General features: G+C 39.2%; 3 protein-coding genes across 41 annotated transcripts in view, besides 8 other annotated features; 1 reads left to right on the forward strand and 2 right to left on the reverse strand.

Annotated features, from left to right (window-relative positions):
• PBLD (phenazine biosynthesis like protein domain containing) overlaps positions 1-1,378 on the reverse strand; it is a 50,269-nt gene extending 48,891 nt beyond the window's left edge. For all 6 annotated transcript variants that reach the window (XM_017016513.2, NM_022129.4, XM_011540060.4 and 3 more), the window contains exon 1: positions 1,234-1,378. The gene's annotated coding sequence lies outside the window, so the exon portion shown is untranslated. The remainder of the gene's footprint in view (positions 1-1,233) is intronic.
• Positions 54-183: an enhancer, noted in NCBI's record as "active region_3462". NCBI's record gives its function as "activates an Ori minimal core promoter by ATAC-STARR-seq in GM12878 lymphoblastoid cells {active_cell/tissue: GM12878}" and the evidence as "EXISTENCE:reporter gene assay evidence [ECO:0000049][PMID:35858748]".
• Positions 143-11,646, forward strand: HNRNPH3 (heterogeneous nuclear ribonucleoprotein H3). Of its 21 annotated transcripts, none has more exons than NM_001322438.1 (10): positions 143-304; positions 5,649-5,783; positions 6,308-6,446; positions 6,953-7,092; positions 7,590-7,676; positions 7,890-8,005; positions 9,624-9,759; positions 10,035-10,130; positions 10,209-10,301; positions 10,428-11,646. In NM_001322438.1, the coding sequence occupies exons 2-10, from the start codon at positions 5,672-5,674 to the stop codon at positions 10,502-10,504; spliced, it is 996 nt and encodes a 331-aa protein (NP_001309367.1). In that variant the 5' UTR covers positions 143-304; positions 5,649-5,671; the 3' UTR covers positions 10,505-11,646. The 21 variants fall into 21 exon arrangements, with proteins under 21 accessions (NP_001309367.1, NP_001309374.1, NP_001309363.1 ...); NM_001322434.2 differs by lacking the exon at positions 143-304 and adding an exon at positions 514-685 and having other exon boundaries at positions 6,953-7,137; positions 10,428-11,643; NM_001322442.2 differs by lacking the exon at positions 143-304 and adding an exon at positions 514-685 and having other exon boundaries at positions 6,953-7,119; positions 10,428-11,643.
• Positions 226-1,040: an enhancer, noted in NCBI's record as "NANOG-H3K27ac-H3K4me1 hESC enhancer chr10:70091533-70092347 (GRCh37/hg19 assembly coordinates)". NCBI's record gives its function as "activates a minimal SCP1, AML or CMV promoter by ChIP-STARR-seq in naive and primed H9 embryonic stem cells {active_cell/tissue: H9 hESC(naive and primed)}" and the evidence as "EXISTENCE:reporter gene assay evidence [ECO:0000049][PMID:30033119]".
• Positions 282-576: an enhancer, noted in NCBI's record as "tiled region #82; HepG2 Activating DNase unmatched - State 1:Tss, and K562 Activating DNase unmatched - State 1:Tss". NCBI's record gives its function as "activates a minimal TATA promoter and a strong SV40 promoter by Sharpr-MPRA in HepG2 and K562 cells {active_cell/tissue: HepG2 | K562}" and the evidence as "EXISTENCE:reporter gene assay evidence [ECO:0000049][PMID:27701403]".
• Positions 904-953: an enhancer, noted in NCBI's record as "active region_3463". NCBI's record gives its function as "activates an Ori minimal core promoter by ATAC-STARR-seq in GM12878 lymphoblastoid cells {active_cell/tissue: GM12878}" and the evidence as "EXISTENCE:reporter gene assay evidence [ECO:0000049][PMID:35858748]".
• Positions 1,041-1,854: an enhancer, noted in NCBI's record as "NANOG-H3K27ac-H3K4me1 hESC enhancer chr10:70092348-70093161 (GRCh37/hg19 assembly coordinates)". NCBI's record gives its function as "activates a minimal SCP1, AML or CMV promoter by ChIP-STARR-seq in naive and primed H9 embryonic stem cells {active_cell/tissue: H9 hESC(naive and primed)}" and the evidence as "EXISTENCE:reporter gene assay evidence [ECO:0000049][PMID:30033119]".
• Positions 1,164-1,393: an enhancer, noted in NCBI's record as "active region_3464". NCBI's record gives its function as "activates an Ori minimal core promoter by ATAC-STARR-seq in GM12878 lymphoblastoid cells {active_cell/tissue: GM12878}" and the evidence as "EXISTENCE:reporter gene assay evidence [ECO:0000049][PMID:35858748]".
• Positions 2,145-2,314: an enhancer, noted in NCBI's record as "experimental_16564 CRE fragment used in MPRA reporter constructs". NCBI's record gives its function as "activates a minimal promoter by MPRAs in K562 erythroleukemia cells, with activity observed for the non-introgressed 10:70093537 variant allele {active_cell/tissue: K562}" and the evidence as "EXISTENCE:reporter gene assay evidence [ECO:0000049][PMID:34662402]".
• Positions 8,041-8,210: an enhancer, noted in NCBI's record as "experimental_16571 CRE fragment used in MPRA reporter constructs". NCBI's record gives its function as "activates a minimal promoter by MPRAs in K562 erythroleukemia cells, with activity observed for the introgressed 10:70099433 variant allele {active_cell/tissue: K562}" and the evidence as "EXISTENCE:reporter gene assay evidence [ECO:0000049][PMID:34662402]".
• Positions 9,562-18,612, reverse strand: part of RUFY2 (RUN and FYVE domain containing 2) — a 66,166-nt gene continuing 57,115 nt past the window's right edge. For 12 of the 14 annotated variants that reach the window (XM_047425448.1, XM_005269957.6, XM_047425446.1 and 9 more), the window contains 2 exons: positions 14,457-14,534; positions 11,858-14,361 (listed from right to left, as the gene is read on the reverse strand). In XM_047425448.1, coding sequence (XP_047281404.1) covers positions 14,218-14,361; positions 14,457-14,534 — 222 coding nt within the window. In that variant the 3' untranslated portion in view covers positions 11,858-14,217. Of the gene's footprint in view, positions 9,739-11,857; positions 14,362-14,456; positions 14,535-18,612 lie in introns of those variants that run through there. The other 2 variants (NR_103476.2, NR_103475.2) reach the window with 1 other exon arrangement.

Here is an 18,612-nt window from a genome sequence, read left to right on the forward strand (position 1 = left end):
TTCATCTTCGCGGCCCAGAAACACTCCTATTTTTCACCGCACAATGCAAACATGGTGGACCAGAAAATCCGCCCCGCGTTTGCCGGTCGAACCACGTGGGGCCCTTTCCGCGCCGTCGATGCCTAGCCAGGGCGGGGCCCTCACAGAATTTGTTCACGGTGGGGGCAGATCACCGGAGAACTTCTCCAGAGCGCTACGGCACGGTTCCTTCTACACACTGGCAGAACTGCCATTGCCATCGCCCCGAGGCGGCAGAATGGTACGCTCTGAAAACTGGATGGTTCTAACGTAAGCAAGAAAAACGGTGCGCGCTGCAGCTCTTTAACTGGAACAGCCTCTGCTCGGTCTACCTCGCCCCCAACAGCTGCGCAACCCACCACCGCGCAGGCGCGCTGCGTGCCGCCAGCGCCATGCGAAACCGACTTTCCCGTCTCGCGAGAGTGGGGCCGGCCGCCTTCGCAGTTCTCGCTCCGCCCCCCACTTCTTGCTCGTTCCCTCCCATCCCCCCAAGCCAGTAGCTGTGCTGCGCAGCTCCCTAAGCGGTTGTCACCGCTGGAGACGGTTGGGAGAACCGTTGTGGCGAGCGCTACACGAGGCAAACGACTTCTCCCTTCTTTGAACTGGACCCCGCGAGCACCAGAGTCGGCGTAACTATCGCCTGACAGGGTATCTGAAGTAAAAGGGGGTAGGTTGGGCTGGTGGTTTCGAGAGCGGAGTCGGGAGAAGGACGAAAGGCCGGGAGGGGCTGGGTTGGGGGGTAGTGGGGTGGTCGCCGCTCGGAGGCCGCCGCTTGGAAGCGGCGGGGCTGCGCCTCCCCGACCATCTCCCACTTCAGGGAGGGCGGCTTGCCGATGGGAGGACTTGCTCAGGTGGAATTCAGTGGACGACGCCGAGGCCCGAAGTAGGGGACATCCAGCATTTTCCCCTTTCCCTGCTGGCTTGGCCTCCGCCATTTTGGGTACAGTGGCGCGGCCACCTCGGCTTCCCGCCCTTCCCCGCTCTTTTTACTTTTTTGTTCCCCAGCTTCCGAAAACTGATCTAGAAGGCCAGGGGAGGGGGTGGTCAAAGCTCCCTGGAAGGGATGAGGGTGGGTAGTGAAGCGAGCAGGGAAAGGCCGGGCAGTTGGGTGGAGGGAGGATCGGGTTTGCCGGGCGCGCTCCCGATGGAAATGGCGCCGGATGGGCCTGGCCTCCCACCGCGGCCTCCCTTCCTCCGCAGTCTCGGCAGGGCTACCTGGGCTGACGGGACTGCGAGTGACTTCTGACGCAGATTCCCAAGATGAGAGAGGCTGGAGCTGGGGGAGGAAAGCCAATGGCGACGAAGGTGCTCAACTCCCAAATCCAGGACAAAGGAGGCAGACGGCCTCCTTTGTAATTCTGCCGCCCGGTGGCGAAGGGTTTTAAGCCAGGCTTGGCTGCTGACGGGAGGGGGAAGGGGCGTACTCTCCCTAGCTTTCTGGTCTCTAGGGCAGCTAGATAAACGGAAAGTCTCCTGGGAGGAATAAAGGACGCTTAGCCGGCCCTTATATTCCAGATTTGGAACTTCGAAAAGAGTACGTACTGATTTTCCAAAGGGTTTTTTTTTTTTCATGTTTAAACGTTAATAAGGACTTCGGGGATGATTTTGTGAGCAGAAAAGTGGGTGATTTATCAAATAGGAATGTGAAATGGGCATGTTTCAAGTAGGTCGTCTGGGCCCAGTGAACTATAATTGTTGCTTTTTGAACTTTCGGGGTGGGGGTGGGTGATGTAGCAATTGTTTTGCGTAGTTTGGCGTATATATGTTAGAATTTGTTTTTAAGTTTTACTTTTGGGAAACAGTTAAAACAACCCAGTGATGGTAGATGTGTGTGTATTGAAATTGAGCTTTCGATGTTAAATCTTCCAAGAGTTGTATTTTGTGCAGTTTTTTTTTCCGATGGCATTAAGGCTCTAGAAGTAAAATACTTCAAAATACGGTTATGGTTTATTTTCTTTTGGTAGCTAGGCATGTTTTTTCTTTAGTGTAGGAGTATAGTACACTGTAATCGTATTTTAAACAAGGGAATAAGCCTACTAAACATAAAAACAAATTGTAAACCCAGTCACGTGGTGGTGGTGTGATTCGGATGAGGGTCCTGAGAACTGGATCCGTAATTTTCATTGAAGACAGTACAAAAGGGAGGAGAAAGGCCTGAGAGTAAGAATTTCTGATAATTCATGTAAAACTTTATAAGAATATTGTTACCTACTTTTCCAGCTCTAAAAACAAAAACTTATTATTATTGAAGATGTTCAGTGATGCTTTCTCAAGATTGCCAAGGAAAAGTTTACGAAAATCTTACCTTGAAACAGTAGGTTTGAGTGACCCTTTGAAGAGATAGTCCAGACTGTCCTGTAAAGTTATATATGATATAACAAATAGCTTTACTAATTGGATTGGACTACACATCTTTTTTCTGTCCTCTTTTCATTTGTGCCGTTATCTGGAAATCCATCTAATTGCCTTTTTAAAATAATGTTATCTTTGATTTCCTTGTTTTGGTAAACTGACTGAACTGCAGTAGATAAAAACCTGGTTCTAGTGAACTAACATTTTAGAGACCTTACCTCCTTAAGCTATTAGGGGTGTGTCTAGTTTTTTGTTTTTGTAAAGAGCAAGCCCATTGGGAAGGAATGATGTAAATTTTCTGTTAAACTTAAATCATCAGCACTTTTTCCAAAAAATAAAATTCATTCTCATTTCTTGACCACTGGGCTACCATTTAGAAAGTTATTTATTGATGTAAAATCCTTTATGTATTACTTCAGAAGATAGGCTATGCCTCCGTGTTAAGAGGATTCTCTATTTCATTTGTTCTTTAGTGGATTTTTTTTCTTTAACGACTTTGGTATATAATTCACATACCGTAAACTTCACCAATTTTAAATGTACAGTTTAGTGGATTTTAGTACATTCACAGCGTTGTGTGACCGTCACTACAATTTAATTTTAGAACATTTTTGTCACTCCAAAAAGATATCCATACCCTTTACTGGTCATTCCCATTGCTGGCATCCTCCCTCCCCTCAAGCCTCAGACAATCATGAATAGAAATGGAATCATGCAATATGTAGTCTTTTGTGACTGGCTTGTTTCACTTGGTGTAATGTTTAGAAAATTATACTTAAAGTCTCATAAAACTTGACCAAAGCTATCCTCATATTTTAACTGTGGTATCTTTTATTGGTACTAGCACCTAGAATTCTTAAAGCAGAGTAGTGATTAGCCATGACATTGTTGCAAAGAAAGGTTGAGGTGGATTATCCTGAATAATTAGTAAACTGTTTTAAGTAGTTTCTGACAGCTTTATTAGAGCAGATTGCTTCTTCCTGTGCCCTTAGAGTTTTTCTTGTTTTTGTTTTGTAGGTAGGATTTTTAGTTTTGAAGGGGTTGGTAGAGTGAGGCTGTTTTTATTGTATGTGCTTTGCATACACAGTCACCCTATAAAATAGATTAAGTGTTCCGAGTTCGGTTGGGTTTTCCGCAATTAAAAATTGTGTTAACAGTTTAGTGTTTCTTACAGATAACACTGATAACACTTTTTTTGTTTTCATTGGGTCTTATCATTGGTACAGACTGATCCAAAAATCCAATTGGCTTGCTAGTAATTTTTTCCTGTGAATTGCTAAGATTTATGGGTAAATTAATTTTTCTTTTTCTTTTCTTTTTTTTTTTTTTTAAGCATTTGCTCCTTAAATGCAAATCGTACCACTAAGATCCTCTCACAACAGATTAAGGTCGAATTTGCAGAGTTCTTCAATTTTTCATGAAGCAGTGAGGGTAGATCTGTACCACTTTTTCCGTTCTGTGTAAATCACCGTTTATGGGAAACACTTGTTTTTTAGGTTGGTGCTATTTAAAAAAAATAAATAAAACGGTAGGCATTTTCAAAACATCTCTGAACTTTTTTTTTTTCCCAAACTGGATTGGGGCCGCCTCCTCTCAGAGCTACTCTTTAGAATAGTATTAAACTTATAAAAGCCTTTGCTGGCTTTGGGAAATAAAATTTTTAATAATTCTCAGTTCTTTTCAAGGCTTGAATTGTTTTCTGTCCTTCAGGGTTCACATATTTTGTGTATGGTATAGCTCACTGGCTTTTGCAGGGCCCCTTAAAGTCCAGTAACAATTGCCATCAGTAAATGCTTACCATGAGGCAGACCAAGCACTTGAATAGTCCAGTGAGGTACAGGTACAACTGCTATAGTTTACAATTGAAGAGGCTCAGAGGTAAAGTGGTTCAGGTAGCCAGTGAGTGGCAGAGTAGGGATTCAGACCCAGAACATTCATAATATTTATTTGTGTGCATAACAAGTAGTTGTAATGTCAGTTAAAAGTTTGTATTCCCATTTTGGTTTTCTATGTCTAGAGTGGCACCTAGGGCTGAAGGTGATTGACACTAGAGGTACTTAACTACTTCCAGAGAATTTCTACATTAGCTTATTTTAAGTGCATGAATTCTAGGGAAAAATATTTTACCCTTTGCAGATGCCACCCCTAAGAGATGCACCAACAAATAGATGACATGAAATTAAGCATTAGTGAATGCTGTTGATACGAAATATGATCTTCAAACATAAAGGAATCAAATGAACAAACTTTGTTTACAGGGGAGGAGGTGGTGAGGGAAAGGTTTGAAATACTCAGGTGAGTAGGATTCCTACAGCTGCATAGTGAGATTTGTAAGGTTCTGGTAAGTTTCTGCAGCTGAAGGACTTCTGCATTCACCTCTTTTGTAAATATTATGGAATTTTAAAAGGAAGGATGGTTGCCTCTGGGGAAGGGAACTGGGAACTGAGGTTATTTTGGAGGGGAAGGGGGGCTTCTAGATGTACCTTTTATGCTTTATTAAAAAGTATATTACCTATTAAAGTTTGTTTAAATCTATTTGATTAAAAATTTGAGTAAACTGGTTTCTAAACACTGTCTCCAGTGGCTTCAAAAACACAGGTACTGTTGGAAGGCATTCACTTTTGAGTGGCCTTTGACCTCAGTTTTAATCTGATTAATTCAGTCATTTTATAATCTTGCTCTTGGTGAGTTTAAACTAGATTTGGCTAAAATAGAGGTGGGAGTGTTGGCCCTTCAAAGACAGTTTGATGTGTTCAAAATTGTAGTGCATTTAAAAGGGTTAGACTTCTGTGATATTTGTCCAACGTCAATCAGTACTCATTGCATTTTTTTACTTAGGCTCTTGATGTTAGTGGATACTGGTATTATATGCAACTTCTGAATAAGTTTTAAAGAATTTGAATAATCAGTTGAATAAAAACCTGAAAAGTGGTGAATGAAAATTTGAGAGATAAGGAAAGGCTAGAGTTGGCATTCAGGGGACACAAATAGTTTGAAGACTCTGGTAGTAGAATTATGCAAGTTTTCTTAAAATTAGGCAATATATAATATTGATACTACGAAATTCAGTACTTTTCCGTAGGAGGGGGTCAGGTCTCATTGCCTTTTCCGTACCCCAAAATATGAAAGGTGGTCTACAATTTTGTTGTGGCATTGTCACAGCAGTTGGCCCCATGTTACATTTCCTCTTGTGGCACCTCTGAGAGGTGTTTCTTCATTACCTCTTGACAAGAGTATATTTTGATTGACTGCTCTATGTGCTTGTTTATTTTTTATAGCATTTAAATCAAACGGTATTGAGATGGATTGGGTTATGAAACATAATGGTCCAAATGACGCTAGTGATGGGACAGTACGACTTCGTGGACTACCATTTGGTTGCAGCAAAGAGGAAATAGTTCAGTTCTTTCAAGGTACCTCTAGTATTAGTCAAAGTTTAGTAGTATTGTAATTTTATATTTGTATTGTTTTACTGTTTTTAATTTGTAAAACCCATTTGATTTTGGAACTTTTAAGTTTAACTATGATAGTCTTGGTTAATGTATTAAAATAATATGCTCCAGTTAATATTCAATACAGAATGTGTAGAATATGTAAAACCTAGTTAATGTGCAGTAACATATTTGAGAATTGTGATGAAATGAACCGTGAATTAGTATATGGAGCATATATTTGATTTTGTAGCCTTTTTTCATGTAATATAGGTGGGCTTTTAGAGTGTGTAATTACACAGTGTTTTTACACTGGTCGCAAAAAATTTATTTAATCCAGTAATATTTGAAAAAATCTTTCATTTGTATTATGGGGTGATGGGAAACTAAGCTTTTTTGTTTTGTTTTGTTTTGTTTAGACTTGTTTTAAATATTTGATTCAGATGGGAATGTTTCAGCCTTTAACACTGTTCCCCTTGATGGGGTTATTTGTCCTTGGGTTAAAGGGTTGGAAATCGTGCCAAATGGGATAACATTGACGATGGACTACCAGGGGAGAAGCACAGGGGAGGCCTTCGTGCAGTTTGCTTCAAAGGAGATAGCAGAAAATGCTCTGGGGAAACACAAGGAAAGAATAGGGCACAGGTGGGGATGGAGAGTTTGGGATGGTGTTAAATTTTTATTTTTGGGGGTTGTGGGTCACTATTGCTTAAATGGGGGGGTAGCCATAACATTTTTCTGGGGTAGTTTAAAAGAATTGATAATTATCTAAATTTAACTTGGAAACTACAGATTTGGGTGGGGAATTAATGCTAATAGTTAAATTAAAATTAGATTGTTTCCATTTCTCTGTAGGATGTTGTTGATAAATGCTTTTGTATAATCACCTATTTCCTTTAAAACACCTATTATGTACTAAAAGAGACAAAGTAAAAATATACTTTATGAATTGTTTTCCGTGACTAATTTCTTTGTAAAACTTAAATATTTAATTAAGTTTGTAGGTTTAAACTGTTAACTTACGGTGTATTTAGGCAATTTAAATTGGGTTATGTATCTAGATATAGAAAAACTTACTGCATTTTGCCCAGTATCTAATTTACACTAATACATTTATGCTGAAACCTGTACCTTAAAACATTTTTAAATAGGTATATTGAGATCTTCAGAAGTAGCAGGAGTGAAATCAAAGGATTTTATGATCCACCAAGAAGATTGCTGGGACAGCGACCGGGACCATATGATAGACCAATAGGAGGAAGAGGGGGTTATTATGGAGCTGGGCGTGGAAGTATGTATGACAGAATGCGACGAGGAGGTGATGGATATGATGGTGGTATGTGTATCTAATGAACAAAGGTTCTGTTGTCATTTTCTTAATGTTCCTGACACTTTGTCAAGAAATACAGAAATGGCAGTAATTTCAGTACCTATTAGGTTTTAAAACCTGTTCATGAAAATACGGATTCCCATGGCTAGCTGTGGGACTTGACTGATGCACATATTGGCACCTAGAAAACTTACACAGAAATTAAAATTAAGATGTTGGCATATTTTGACCTTTTTTTGCCTAAGGATGAAATTTAATTTACATGTCTGAACTTAATTAACTTTCTGAGATTTTAAATTTCCATCACGTTGACTGCTTTTTTCATAGGTTTTAAGTTGGGAATTGCAAACTTGCAATCAAGTTACACAGACTGTTACCACAAAATGTTTTTGTAAACTAAATTATAAAATTTATCTCTGGAAAGTGTGTAGTCATGTGTTTCTCCTTAAATTACACAGGTTATGGAGGTTTTGATGACTATGGTGGCTATAATAATTACGGCTATGGGAATGATGGCTTTGATGACAGAATGAGAGATGGAAGAGGTAAAATAAATATTAAAGACATTTTTATTCATAGGTAAATTTTAGTATTTGCTTTGCAAGCTCTTAGTGGTAATATAGGAAACTTGTATAAAGTTAATTCAGACAAATTTCAGTGCATTCCTATATAGAGCTTTATACCTTGTATAGTATGTATGTATACTTCCCTACTTGTATCTGTAATAGTTTATAATCTTGGCAAATTGTGTTTTCCAGGTATGGGAGGACATGGCTATGGTGGAGCTGGTGATGCAAGTTCAGGTTTTCATGGTGGTCATTTCGTACATATGAGAGGGTTGCCTTTTCGTGCAACTGAAAATGACATTGCTAATGTGAGTAATTTTTAATAACTATTAGTGGTTTTATACTTATCCTGGTGTCTAAATCTTTAAGCATTCTTAATGTTCTCATGTTTATAGCTTAATACCAAAATCCCTTGAATATAAAAATAGATCTACCTTTAATTCTTTTTTTGAGATGGAGTCTTGCTCTGTCCCCCAGGCTGAGTGCAGTGGTGTGATCTCGGCTCACTGCAAGCTCTGCCTCCCAGGTTCACGCCATTGTCCTGCCTCAGCCTCCCGAGTAGCTGGAACTATAGGTGCCCGCCACCACGCCTGGCTAATTAGATCTACCTTTAATTCTAATCACTGATGGATATTTTTGTATCCATTGTGTGTCAACCTACATAGGATTCAAACAAGTAAAAAGCTACATTCGTGAAGTCCAGTTAAGAGTATAATGAAAGACTGATCAGCATAGAATGGTGATGACTATACCATTTTGTGCTGGTGTCTTTTGTTGTACCGTTTTTTGTTTTGTTTTCTTTTTTGAGACAGAGTCTTGCTCTGTCGCCCAGGCTAGAGTGCAGTGGCGCGATCTCGGCTCACTGCAACCTCCACCTCCCGGGTTCAAGTTATTCTTCTGCCTCAGCCTCCTGAATAGCTGGGATTACAGGGGCACACCCCACCACTCCTGGCTAACTTTTTGTATTTTTAGTAGAGATGGGGTTTCACCATGTTGATCGGGCTGGTCCTGACCTCATGATCCGCCTGCCCTGGCCTCCCAAAGTGCTGGGATTACAGGCGTGAGCCACTGCGCCTGACCTGTATTAGGGTTTGAAAGAGTGAATATATAAATATTAGTGATTTGGTTTGGCTTTCTAGGCTAGATGGTGATTAGAAACTGAGGAGTTGGAAATAACAGGAATAGATGCTGCTGTTGTCACTGATGTGAAACTGGTTGGTTTCAGATTTGTTAGGAGGTCAGCAAACTTCAGTCCATGGGCTAAATCCGGTCACACCATTCCTCTACCTGTTGAGTGGTTACATTAGAGACCCAATGGCCATTCAGGCCAAAAGTACTGACTCTGGCTTTAAAAGCAATGGTGTGCTCTAGATCTTACTGGGAATCAGCTGGCCTGAGTTCCAACTGCTTTTAATGATAGTTTAAAACCTGGCTAACTTGTGATTAGAACCAAATGATATCTTTTGGGGAACAATTTCATATAGTCTTAAATAGGTGGCTTTATTCAAACCGCATAGTTCCAAATCATGATATCCCGTATTTCTCTCTGTGTGTTTGTGTGCTTTTTTTTTTTGACAGTCTCCCACTCTGTCTCTCTGAGGCTGGAGTGCAGTGGCGTGATCTCTGCTTACTGCAGCTCCCACCTCCTGCGTTCAAGCGATTCTCTGTCTCAGCCTTCTGAGTAGCTGGGATTACAGGCGTGAGCCACTGCGCCCTGCCTATCTGCTTATTTTAAAAGCAGTAAATTCTTTACATTATCCCTAAGTGTATACTCTGATATTCACAGAACCTCTGTAGTTGACTAAGTTATTAGTCTGACAGGGCAGTGGAAGGGTTTGTTTTAATTGATGAGGAAAAATCAAGGTATGTGGTAATTTACTTTAATATTCTCAATAGAAAAGTAAATAAGTGTTTCCTTTTATTTAGTTCTTCTCACCACTAAATCCAATACGAGTTCATATTGATATTGGAGCTGATGGCAGAGCCACAGGAGAAGCAGATGTAGAGTTTGTGACACATGAAGATGCAGTAGCTGCCATGTCTAAAGATAAAAATAACATGCGTAAGTGGTGTCTTTGGCACACAATCTTATTTCCTAAACGTGAATTTATAAAATAAGAGGCTCTAAGATCTGTAGGTAACGCTTGGCAGTTGTTGGGATTTAAAACCATTTGACCTCTATAATGGCTTTCTGTGGGCTTTATATATCGCTGTACTAGTAATTAATAAGCATACTTTGTTTAATATTACTTAATTGATCTTTTTTACAAAGCTTGTATTGATGAATTTTATCCATCATTCCTTTCTCCCCTGTTACTCTTTCTTTTTTTCTTAAAGAACATCGATATATTGAACTCTTCTTGAATTCTACTCCTGGAGGCGGCTCTGGCATGGGAGGTTCTGGAATGGGAGGCTACGGAAGAGATGGAATGGGTATGTAAAGTTTTTAAAATATGCAGGGTTAGCTGCTTATCGATGAGTCTCAATTTTTTTTCTTTTTTCTTTTTAAAGATAATCAGGGAGGCTATGGATCAGTTGGAAGAATGGGAATGGGGAACAATTACAGTGGAGGATATGGTACTCCTGATGGTTTGGGTGGTTATGGTAAGTATCTCTAGTTCAGTTTGTGTTAGTCCGCATATGTAGTGCAAACTTTAAAGTGCAGGTATTACTTTTATTATTTTATGCAGATATCTCCTGCTGAGTGATTCTTAATATCTTTTTCTTAAGGCCGTGGTGGTGGAGGCAGTGGAGGTTACTATGGGCAAGGCGGCATGAGTGGAGGTGGATGGCGTGGGATGTACTGAAAGCAAAAACACCAACATACAAGTCTTGACAACAGCATCTGGTCTACTAGACTTTCTTACAGATTTAATTTCTTTTGTATTTTAAGAACTTTATAATGACTGAAGGAATGTGTTTTCAAAATATTATTTGGTAAAGCAACAGATTGTGATGGGAAAATGTTTTCTGTAGGTTTATTTGTTGCATACTTTGACTTAAAAATAAATTTTTATATTCAAACCACTGATGTTGATACTTTTTATATACTAGTTACTCCTAAAGATGTGCTGCCTTCATAAGATTTGGGTTGATGTATTTTACTATTAGTTCTACAAGAAGTAGTGTGGTGTAATTTTAGAGGATAATGGTTCACCTCTGCGTAAACTGCAAGTCTTAAGCAGACATCTGGAATAGAGCTTGACAAATAATTAGTGTAACTTTTTTCTTTAGTTCCTCCTGGACAACACTGTAAATATAAAGCCTAAAGATGAAGTGGCTTCAGGAGTATAAATTCAGCTAATTATTTCTATATTATTATTTTTCAAATGTCATTTATCAGGCATAGCTCTGAAACATTGATGATCTAAGAGGTATTGATTTCTGAATATTCATAATTGTGTTACCTGGGTATGAGAGTGTTGGAAGCTGAATTCTAGCCCTAGATTTTGGAGTAAAACCCCTTCAGCACTTGACCGAAATACCAAAAATGTCTCCAAAAAATTGATAGTTGCAGGTTATCGCAAGATGTCTTAGAGTAGGGTTAAGGTTCTCAGTGACACAAGAATTCAGTATTAAGTACATAGGTATTTACTATGGAGTATAATTCTCACAATTGTATTTTCAGTTTTCTGCCCAATAGAGTTTAAATAACTGTATAAATGATGACTTTAAAAAAATGTAAGCAACAAGTCCATGTCATAGTCAATAAAAACAATCCTGCAGTTGGGTTTTGTATCTGATCCCTGCTTGGAGTTTTAGTTTAAAGAATCTATATGTAGCAAGGAAAAGGTGCTTTTTAATTTTAATCCCTTTGATCAATATGGCTTTTTTCCAAATTGGCTAATGGATCAAAATGAAACCTGTTGATGTGAATTCAGTTATTGAACTTGTTACTTGTTTTTGCCAGAAATGTTATTAATAAATGTCATTGTGGGAGATAATAGTATGGCGTCTGTCCTAGAATGCTTTGTGTCAGTTACTAATTCTAAAATCAAATTGGTAGAAGGTGGTACTACATACGATGTCTATGATTTAGGAGAGGGAGCCGGGGCAGCCTATATATGTGGAGCCTCTTGACTGAAGCTATGATTCATCTTAATGCTTGTATCCACTTCCTTTAATGAGCAATTTAAATATTAGGGCATACACCACCTGTCTTTTTTGAAAGTTGTATGTGTTTTATTTTCCCAGGATTACTCTCTTAACATCTTAAAGCAGTAAAAGTATACAGTATTAATGAAACCAAAATTGCCCTTTTAAAGCAGGCTAATTTTCCAAATATTTATTTAGTTCATAAAATTCACATTTTATTTTTTAAACATTATAGGTTAGAAGAATTACAATTGTAATTCCCTGGCACCATGATAGCATTATTGTGGTAGTACTGCTAGGTGAGGGAATGGTATGTTAAGTCTGTTTTTGAAAAGTAAAATGAATACGAGTTCACAATCACGAAATACAGATTGTTAAAAGTCTTGTAACAGAAAAATCCAAAGTTAGTATAGTTTTTAAATAAGCCAAAACTACATGGAGCAAGTTGCTGTCATAAAAGCTGCCTAAAAAAAAAAAAAAAAAAAAAAAAAGCAAGTCAGTCAGTGTTGATACATGAGTTTTGAAAAGTGAGAAACTTACTTAAAGGATGACAAAATCATGGTTTGTTGAATGAAATTAGCCTTGGAATTTAAGCAACTTAAGTCACATTTTAAAATTTGTTCTAAGCACAGTAATAAAAAAGCATATTTGAAAATTTCATTTTTTGTTTATTCAGTAATCATAAAAATGTTAGCCCATCCCACCTATCAATACAAAATGGTTCAAGAATATAATCCTCTCTTGAGGACATTTCTGTCAGTATTCAAGAAAGACCATCTAGAAATCTGTGTCACATCTGACACCTCAAAAGCTGACTGGAAATTTACGGGTTTTGGAAAAAATAGATCTTCAAGTAAAATATTCATTTCATACTTAGGCTATTCAGAAAAATTTAAATTTCATGGAAGCATATATTCATGAAGAAAAGATCCTGCAGTATTAATAAGAACTCCTTTGTAGGCAGGGAGGTACCTAGGATTAACCACTAAATATAATGCTCTTAATCCATAAATTTTCTATGTATTTTTTATAGGCTCACAAACTTAAAGTGCATGGTTAAAAATTAATGTAAAAAATAGGATACTGAATGGTGATAGTGTTTATGTAACTATTCAGAGGTAATTTATACAAGTTAAATTCTTAGTATGCCATAAGCAATATAACTTGGATTAGTGTTCATTGAGTCAGCTTGAAATAGGTCAAGTGTACTGGCCAGGTGCTGTGGCTCACGCCTGTAATCCCAGCTACTTGGGAGGCTGAGGCAGGAGAATTGCTTGAACCCAGGAGGTGGAGATCGTGCCATTGCACTCCAGCCTAGGCAACAAGAGTGAAACTCCATCTCGAAAAAAAAAGAAATAGGTCAAGTGTATATTTCATCATCTCAACACCCTTGGCATAGAGGTGCTCAATGGACATGGTGAAATTTTACTGTGGATGTATACAGGTAGGCCACTACAATGTGATACTTCCTAAAATTTACTCCAATGAAAATGTTAATACAAAATTTTTTGAACTGAACTCTAATACATTACCAAAGCAAAGTCCTGATTTTTTTCTCACTTTTAATGCTTAGAGGAGAGGACCTTTATAAGGAGCCTGTAACATCCCCTACTATTACATACTTTTTTTTCTGGGGAAGGATTTGTGTTTTCATCTTTGAATTGGGGTCTGAGTCACCCCTTAAAAAAACAGCAATTTAATGAAACAGCATATGGGAAGATTTATAAATCAGGAAAAGAAAGATGGTTATATGTAACTTCCTTTCAAGATTAAAAGGAAAAAAGTAGAGGCCGAGGCCAAATAATGCCCCCTTTAATTTAATCCACTGTAGCTGAAAATCTTCAGCAAGCACGACAATAACTGATTTTTAAAGAGACCAAGAGGAAATTTTGTAGGACAAAATATTGGCCCTGTCTAATGCAAGAGGCAAAGGGAGAGGGGGAGAAGAAAGGGCAAATAAATATAGTTGAAATCTTACAAAGATAATGAAAATCTGTTGAATTAGAATATTAATAATTTTAAAAGTTTTATGCGTTTCCAGTTTCAGAACTGTGAAGCTTTAAAGTGCATTAAGAGAACTGCAGGCACCATCAAATACCAAATTGACAGAATTCAGAAGAAAAAAACAATCTGAAGCCTTATTTTTAAGGCCTTTACAAGATAAGGCAAGTTGTGTTAGCTCTGCTCTCTGGCCTTTTAATGAGTTACATGATTTTTAAGCATGCTCTGTTGAAAATACATTTTGAAAAACAATGGGGAAGGAAATATATAACTTGTAATTTCCATGAGCTGAATATGTAGAAGATAAACTGGTACCAAATACTGACCGAAAGCCGCTTAAGGAGAGCTGTCTGGTTACCTTTGTATACAACATCATAACATTCATTGTAGGTAATTTCATACATAAGGATTTAGTTCTGGAGTCTCAGGGCAAGTTAGATGAGCATCTCTGAATGAGCAGTGCATGACAGGAATCACAAACCCGTACTGGTTTTGGTGAAGAAGGCAAAGGTAGTTCGTTGTCAGAGCAGGCATTACAGAAAATTTCCCCACAATTTCTACAGTGGTGCTATTAAACAGAAAAATCAGAGGGAAAAAAACACTTTAAATAAAATTAGCATTTTTGCACTCCAAATTTTTGGACTCACTTCTTATCTCCCTTACCTTTCTCTTAGAGAGTGAGAATTCCTTTTCACAAAGTTTACAATGTGTTGCTTCTTTGTCTTTCAGCCAAACCAGTCCCTAGTAGGAAGAAAATATTAATGCTCAAATTGGTAACACTAAAAATTAAATGTGAAAACTTTTTCCCCCAAGAACATTATTTATAGGAATAGATATATGAAGAATGGAAAATAAGTTATTTTCTTTGAGAGATGTATATATATGTAAATATGTATGGAATTAGCCTCAAAATATTCTGGGTTGGGGAGGTGGGATGTGGATTAAGTATAAAAAACAAGATTGCAGCCAGGCGACAATGGCTCACACCGGTAATTCCAGCTACTTGGGAGGCTGAGGTGAGAGGATCGCCTGAGGCCTGGAGTTCAAGACCAAGCTGGGCAACACAGAATCTGTCTCTTAAAAAATAAAAATTGAAAAAATGAAAAATCAAGACTGCACATGATAAATATTGAAATGGGTAATGGTTCATTTTGCTCTTTTCTATACAATTGTATATATTAGAACATATAACATGTAAAAATGCTTTAAAGAGATAATCTGTTGCTGATGGGAATTCTCTTCAGGAAAAGAACCTTAAAGATGAAAAAAACCTTAAAATAGTACAACAACATTTTATTTTTTAAATTTTTGTGGGTACATAGTAGTTACATATTTATGGGGTACATGAGATGTTTTGATACAGGCATGCAATACGAAATAAGCACATCATGGAGAATGGGGTATCCTAGTCCAACAATATTTAAGGATAAATTCTCACTGTGTAAAATGCAATAGTTTGGCATTATGTATAACTTATACCTTAAGACCCTAAAATTTGAAGGAAATTGGGGAAATCAGATATTGGAGTTCATTATTTTATAAGACCTCTTTAGGAGGCCGAGGCAGGAGGATTGCTTGAGGCCAGGAAGACTGGCCTGGGGAACAGACTCCATCTTTACAAAAAAATTAACCAGGCTGCGTGGCATAAGCCCATAGTCCCAGCTACTCTGGAGGCTGAGAAGGGAGAATCGCTTAAGCCCAGGAGTTTGAGGCTGCAGTGAACTATGACTCAGGCTTGAGTGCCACTGCACTCGAGCCTGAGCAAGAGTGAGACCCTGTCTCAAGAAAAAGAGGGGAAAAAAAAAGGACCTCACTTTAAAAGTTTTACATGGCTATTTCCCTCAACTTTTATAACATATTTAATAGCTGCTATGTAAACGTTAGTAAAAAAATGGATGTAAGTAGTCTTAAGCAGTATTTATGACAACTTGACCCTTTTTTTTTTTTTTTTTTTTTTTGAAAAGAGAGTCTCACTCTGTCGCCCAGGCTGTAGTGCAGTGGTGCAGTCTCAGCTCACCGCAACCTCCGTCTCCCAGGTTCAAGTGATTCTCCTGCCTCAGCTTCCCTGTAGCTGGGATTACAGGCACACGCCACCATGCCCGGCTAATTTTTGTATTTTTAGTAGAGATGGGGTTTCACCATGTTGGCCAGACTGGTCTCAAACTCCTGACCTCAGGTGATCCGCCCACTTCGGCCTCCCAAAGTGCTGGGATTACAGGCATAAACCACCAGGCCCAGCCTACTTGACCCATTGTTAACCAGCTTGCTTAACCAATCTTGGCTAGAAAGACCTTTTTTCCCCTGTGAAGGCAACTTTGTTAGATGATTATCAGTTTCACAATGAGAAGACCCAGATGAAGGAGGAGCCTCAATACTGATTGATTTCCTAAAACATGTTCCTAAAACAGCCCAGACCAAAGAACCCAAGTATAACTGAAGATTCCAACCTGGACATGGAGCAACTGCAACCTATCAATTACTACTGAAGCACAGGAACCTTTATTACCTAATGAGAGAAAAATTCTCTTAGGAAAAAAAGGCCCATAGATACATTTCTAAAAACAAGAGTTTTCTTAAGACTTTTCCAAAAGCAGAATTCTTTGAAGAAAAAAAAGACAAAGCATTCACAGATCAAGATCACAAGGTTAATTTCAGGTCTTTTTGTTTCACAGTCTTAATAACTAGCACTTATTATACAGCAGAGATAATACAGTATTGGTTACTGCATATGAGGAAGCCTAACTCTCCTTAGAACACAGGATTATAAGGGCTTTTTTTTTTTAACTAGATAGTTCATATCAGACAAACACCAGCAAAGAGTCAGATAGCTTGAATCATAGAATTTTTTTTTTTTTTTTAATGCAGGACGGGGGCCAGGTGCAGTGGCTGACACCTGTAATCCCAGCACTTTTGAGACTTTGAGAGGCCAAGGTGAGAGGCTCTCTTTAGACCAGGAGTTCAAGACCAGCCTGGGCAACATAGCAAGACCCCATCTCTACAAAAAAAAATATAAATGAAAAGAAATTAGCCAAGCATGGTGGCATGCACCTGTAGTCTCAGCTACTTGGGAGGCTGAGGTGGGAGGATTGCTTAAACCCATATGTTCAAGGTTACAGTGAGCTGTGATCATGCCACTGCACTCCAGCTTGGGAAACAGAGGAAACTCTGTCTCTGAGGGGAAAAAAAAAAAAAGGCAGCAGCAGGAAGGGACCCTAAAAGATAATCCAACTTGATGAAAACCATACAAAGCAAAGTGATTTGCCAAATGTCCCACAGCCACCTAGTGGAAGCAGCTTGTAAGGGCATCAGGTTCGGAAACAACCTTGCTGACATGGAGACTAGGCCTTTGGAGACTTCTTTTCATTGAAACTACCTGCCGCCCTCCCAGGAGAGAAGCTCACTTTAAAGTAAGCCTAGTGTGTCCCTGTGAAGGGATCTCAGAGATGAGCACCTGGAGCCCTCTCATTTTACACATGAGAAAACTTAAAGCCTAGAGAGCTGAAGCTGCCTGCTCAAGGAAACAGCCGTTTACCAGAAGAGCTAAGACTAGAACGGAACAACCTCTTGCTCTGCAAATAAACAGCAATTTTTCTCTGCCCAATTCCAGAAAGTTAGCTGCTAGACTTACACCCCCTAGATAGGATACTACAGGATTCTTCTCTGGAGAAATTCAACTGCCACAGAGAAAAGTCCTGTAAATACTAAACATTTGTAGAGGGTACCCAATAGTTCACTAATCATAGCAGATTTCTCTATGGTGAGGCCTACCAGTTTTTAACAACCCACCCAACCAATACACACACAAGGTTTCCGATAACTCTTATTTGTGCCTTTTATTGAAATTGGGGGATATCACAACATTTGAGAAAACTTCAGAGAATCGATAATGAGGCCGGGTACAGTGGCTCACACCTGTAATCCCACCACTTTGGGAGACTGAGACGGAAGGATCGCTTGAGCCCAGGAGTTTGAGACCAGCCTGGGCAACACAGTGAGGCCCCCACCATCTCTAAAAAATAAAATAAAATTAGCAGGGTGTGGTGATGTACACCTGTGGTCCCAGCAACTCAGGAGGCTGAGGGGGGGAGGATTGCTTGAACCCAGAAGTTCAAGGTTACAGTGAGCTATGATGGAGTCACTACACCCTGGCCTGGACAACAGAGACACTGTCTCTAAAAAAATTTTTTTTTAAAGAAAAAAAAATTTTTTTTTTGAGACAGAGTCTCGCTCTGTCACCCAGGCTGGAGTGCAGTGGTGCAATCTCGGCTCACTGCAAGCTCCGCCTCCCGGGTTCGCGCCATTCTCCTGCCTCAGTCTCCTAAGTACCTGGGACTACAGGCACCCACCACTGCACCCAGCTAATTTTTTGTATTTTTAGTAGAGACGGGGTTTCACCGTGTTAGCCAGGATGGTCTCGATCTCCTGACCTCGTGATCTGCCCGCCTCAGCCTCCCAAAGTGCTGGGATTACAGGCGTGAGCCACCGCGCCCGGCCAGAAAAAATTTTTTAAATAATAATATCAAAGACAAAATATAACAGGACGCTATTTTTAAAAGGAAAAATGAGCAAATAATAACCCACTGAATGTTAAAAATATGCCTGCAGAAAAAATATCCCCCAGAAGGTTGTACCTGAATCTAACCAAGGCTTTATTTTATTTTATTTTTCATATTATTTTATTATTTAGATGGAGTCTCGCTCTGTCGCCCAGGCTGGAATGCAGTAGTGGGATCTCAGCACACTACAACCTCCGCCTCCCGGGTTCAAGTGATCCTCTTACCTCAGCCTCCCAAGTAGCTGGGACTACAGGCGCACACCA

This window comes from Homo sapiens, chromosome 10, assembly GCF_000001405.40.
Source record: "Homo sapiens chromosome 10, GRCh38.p14 Primary Assembly".
NCBI lineage: Eukaryota > Metazoa > Chordata > Mammalia > Primates > Hominidae > Homo > Homo sapiens.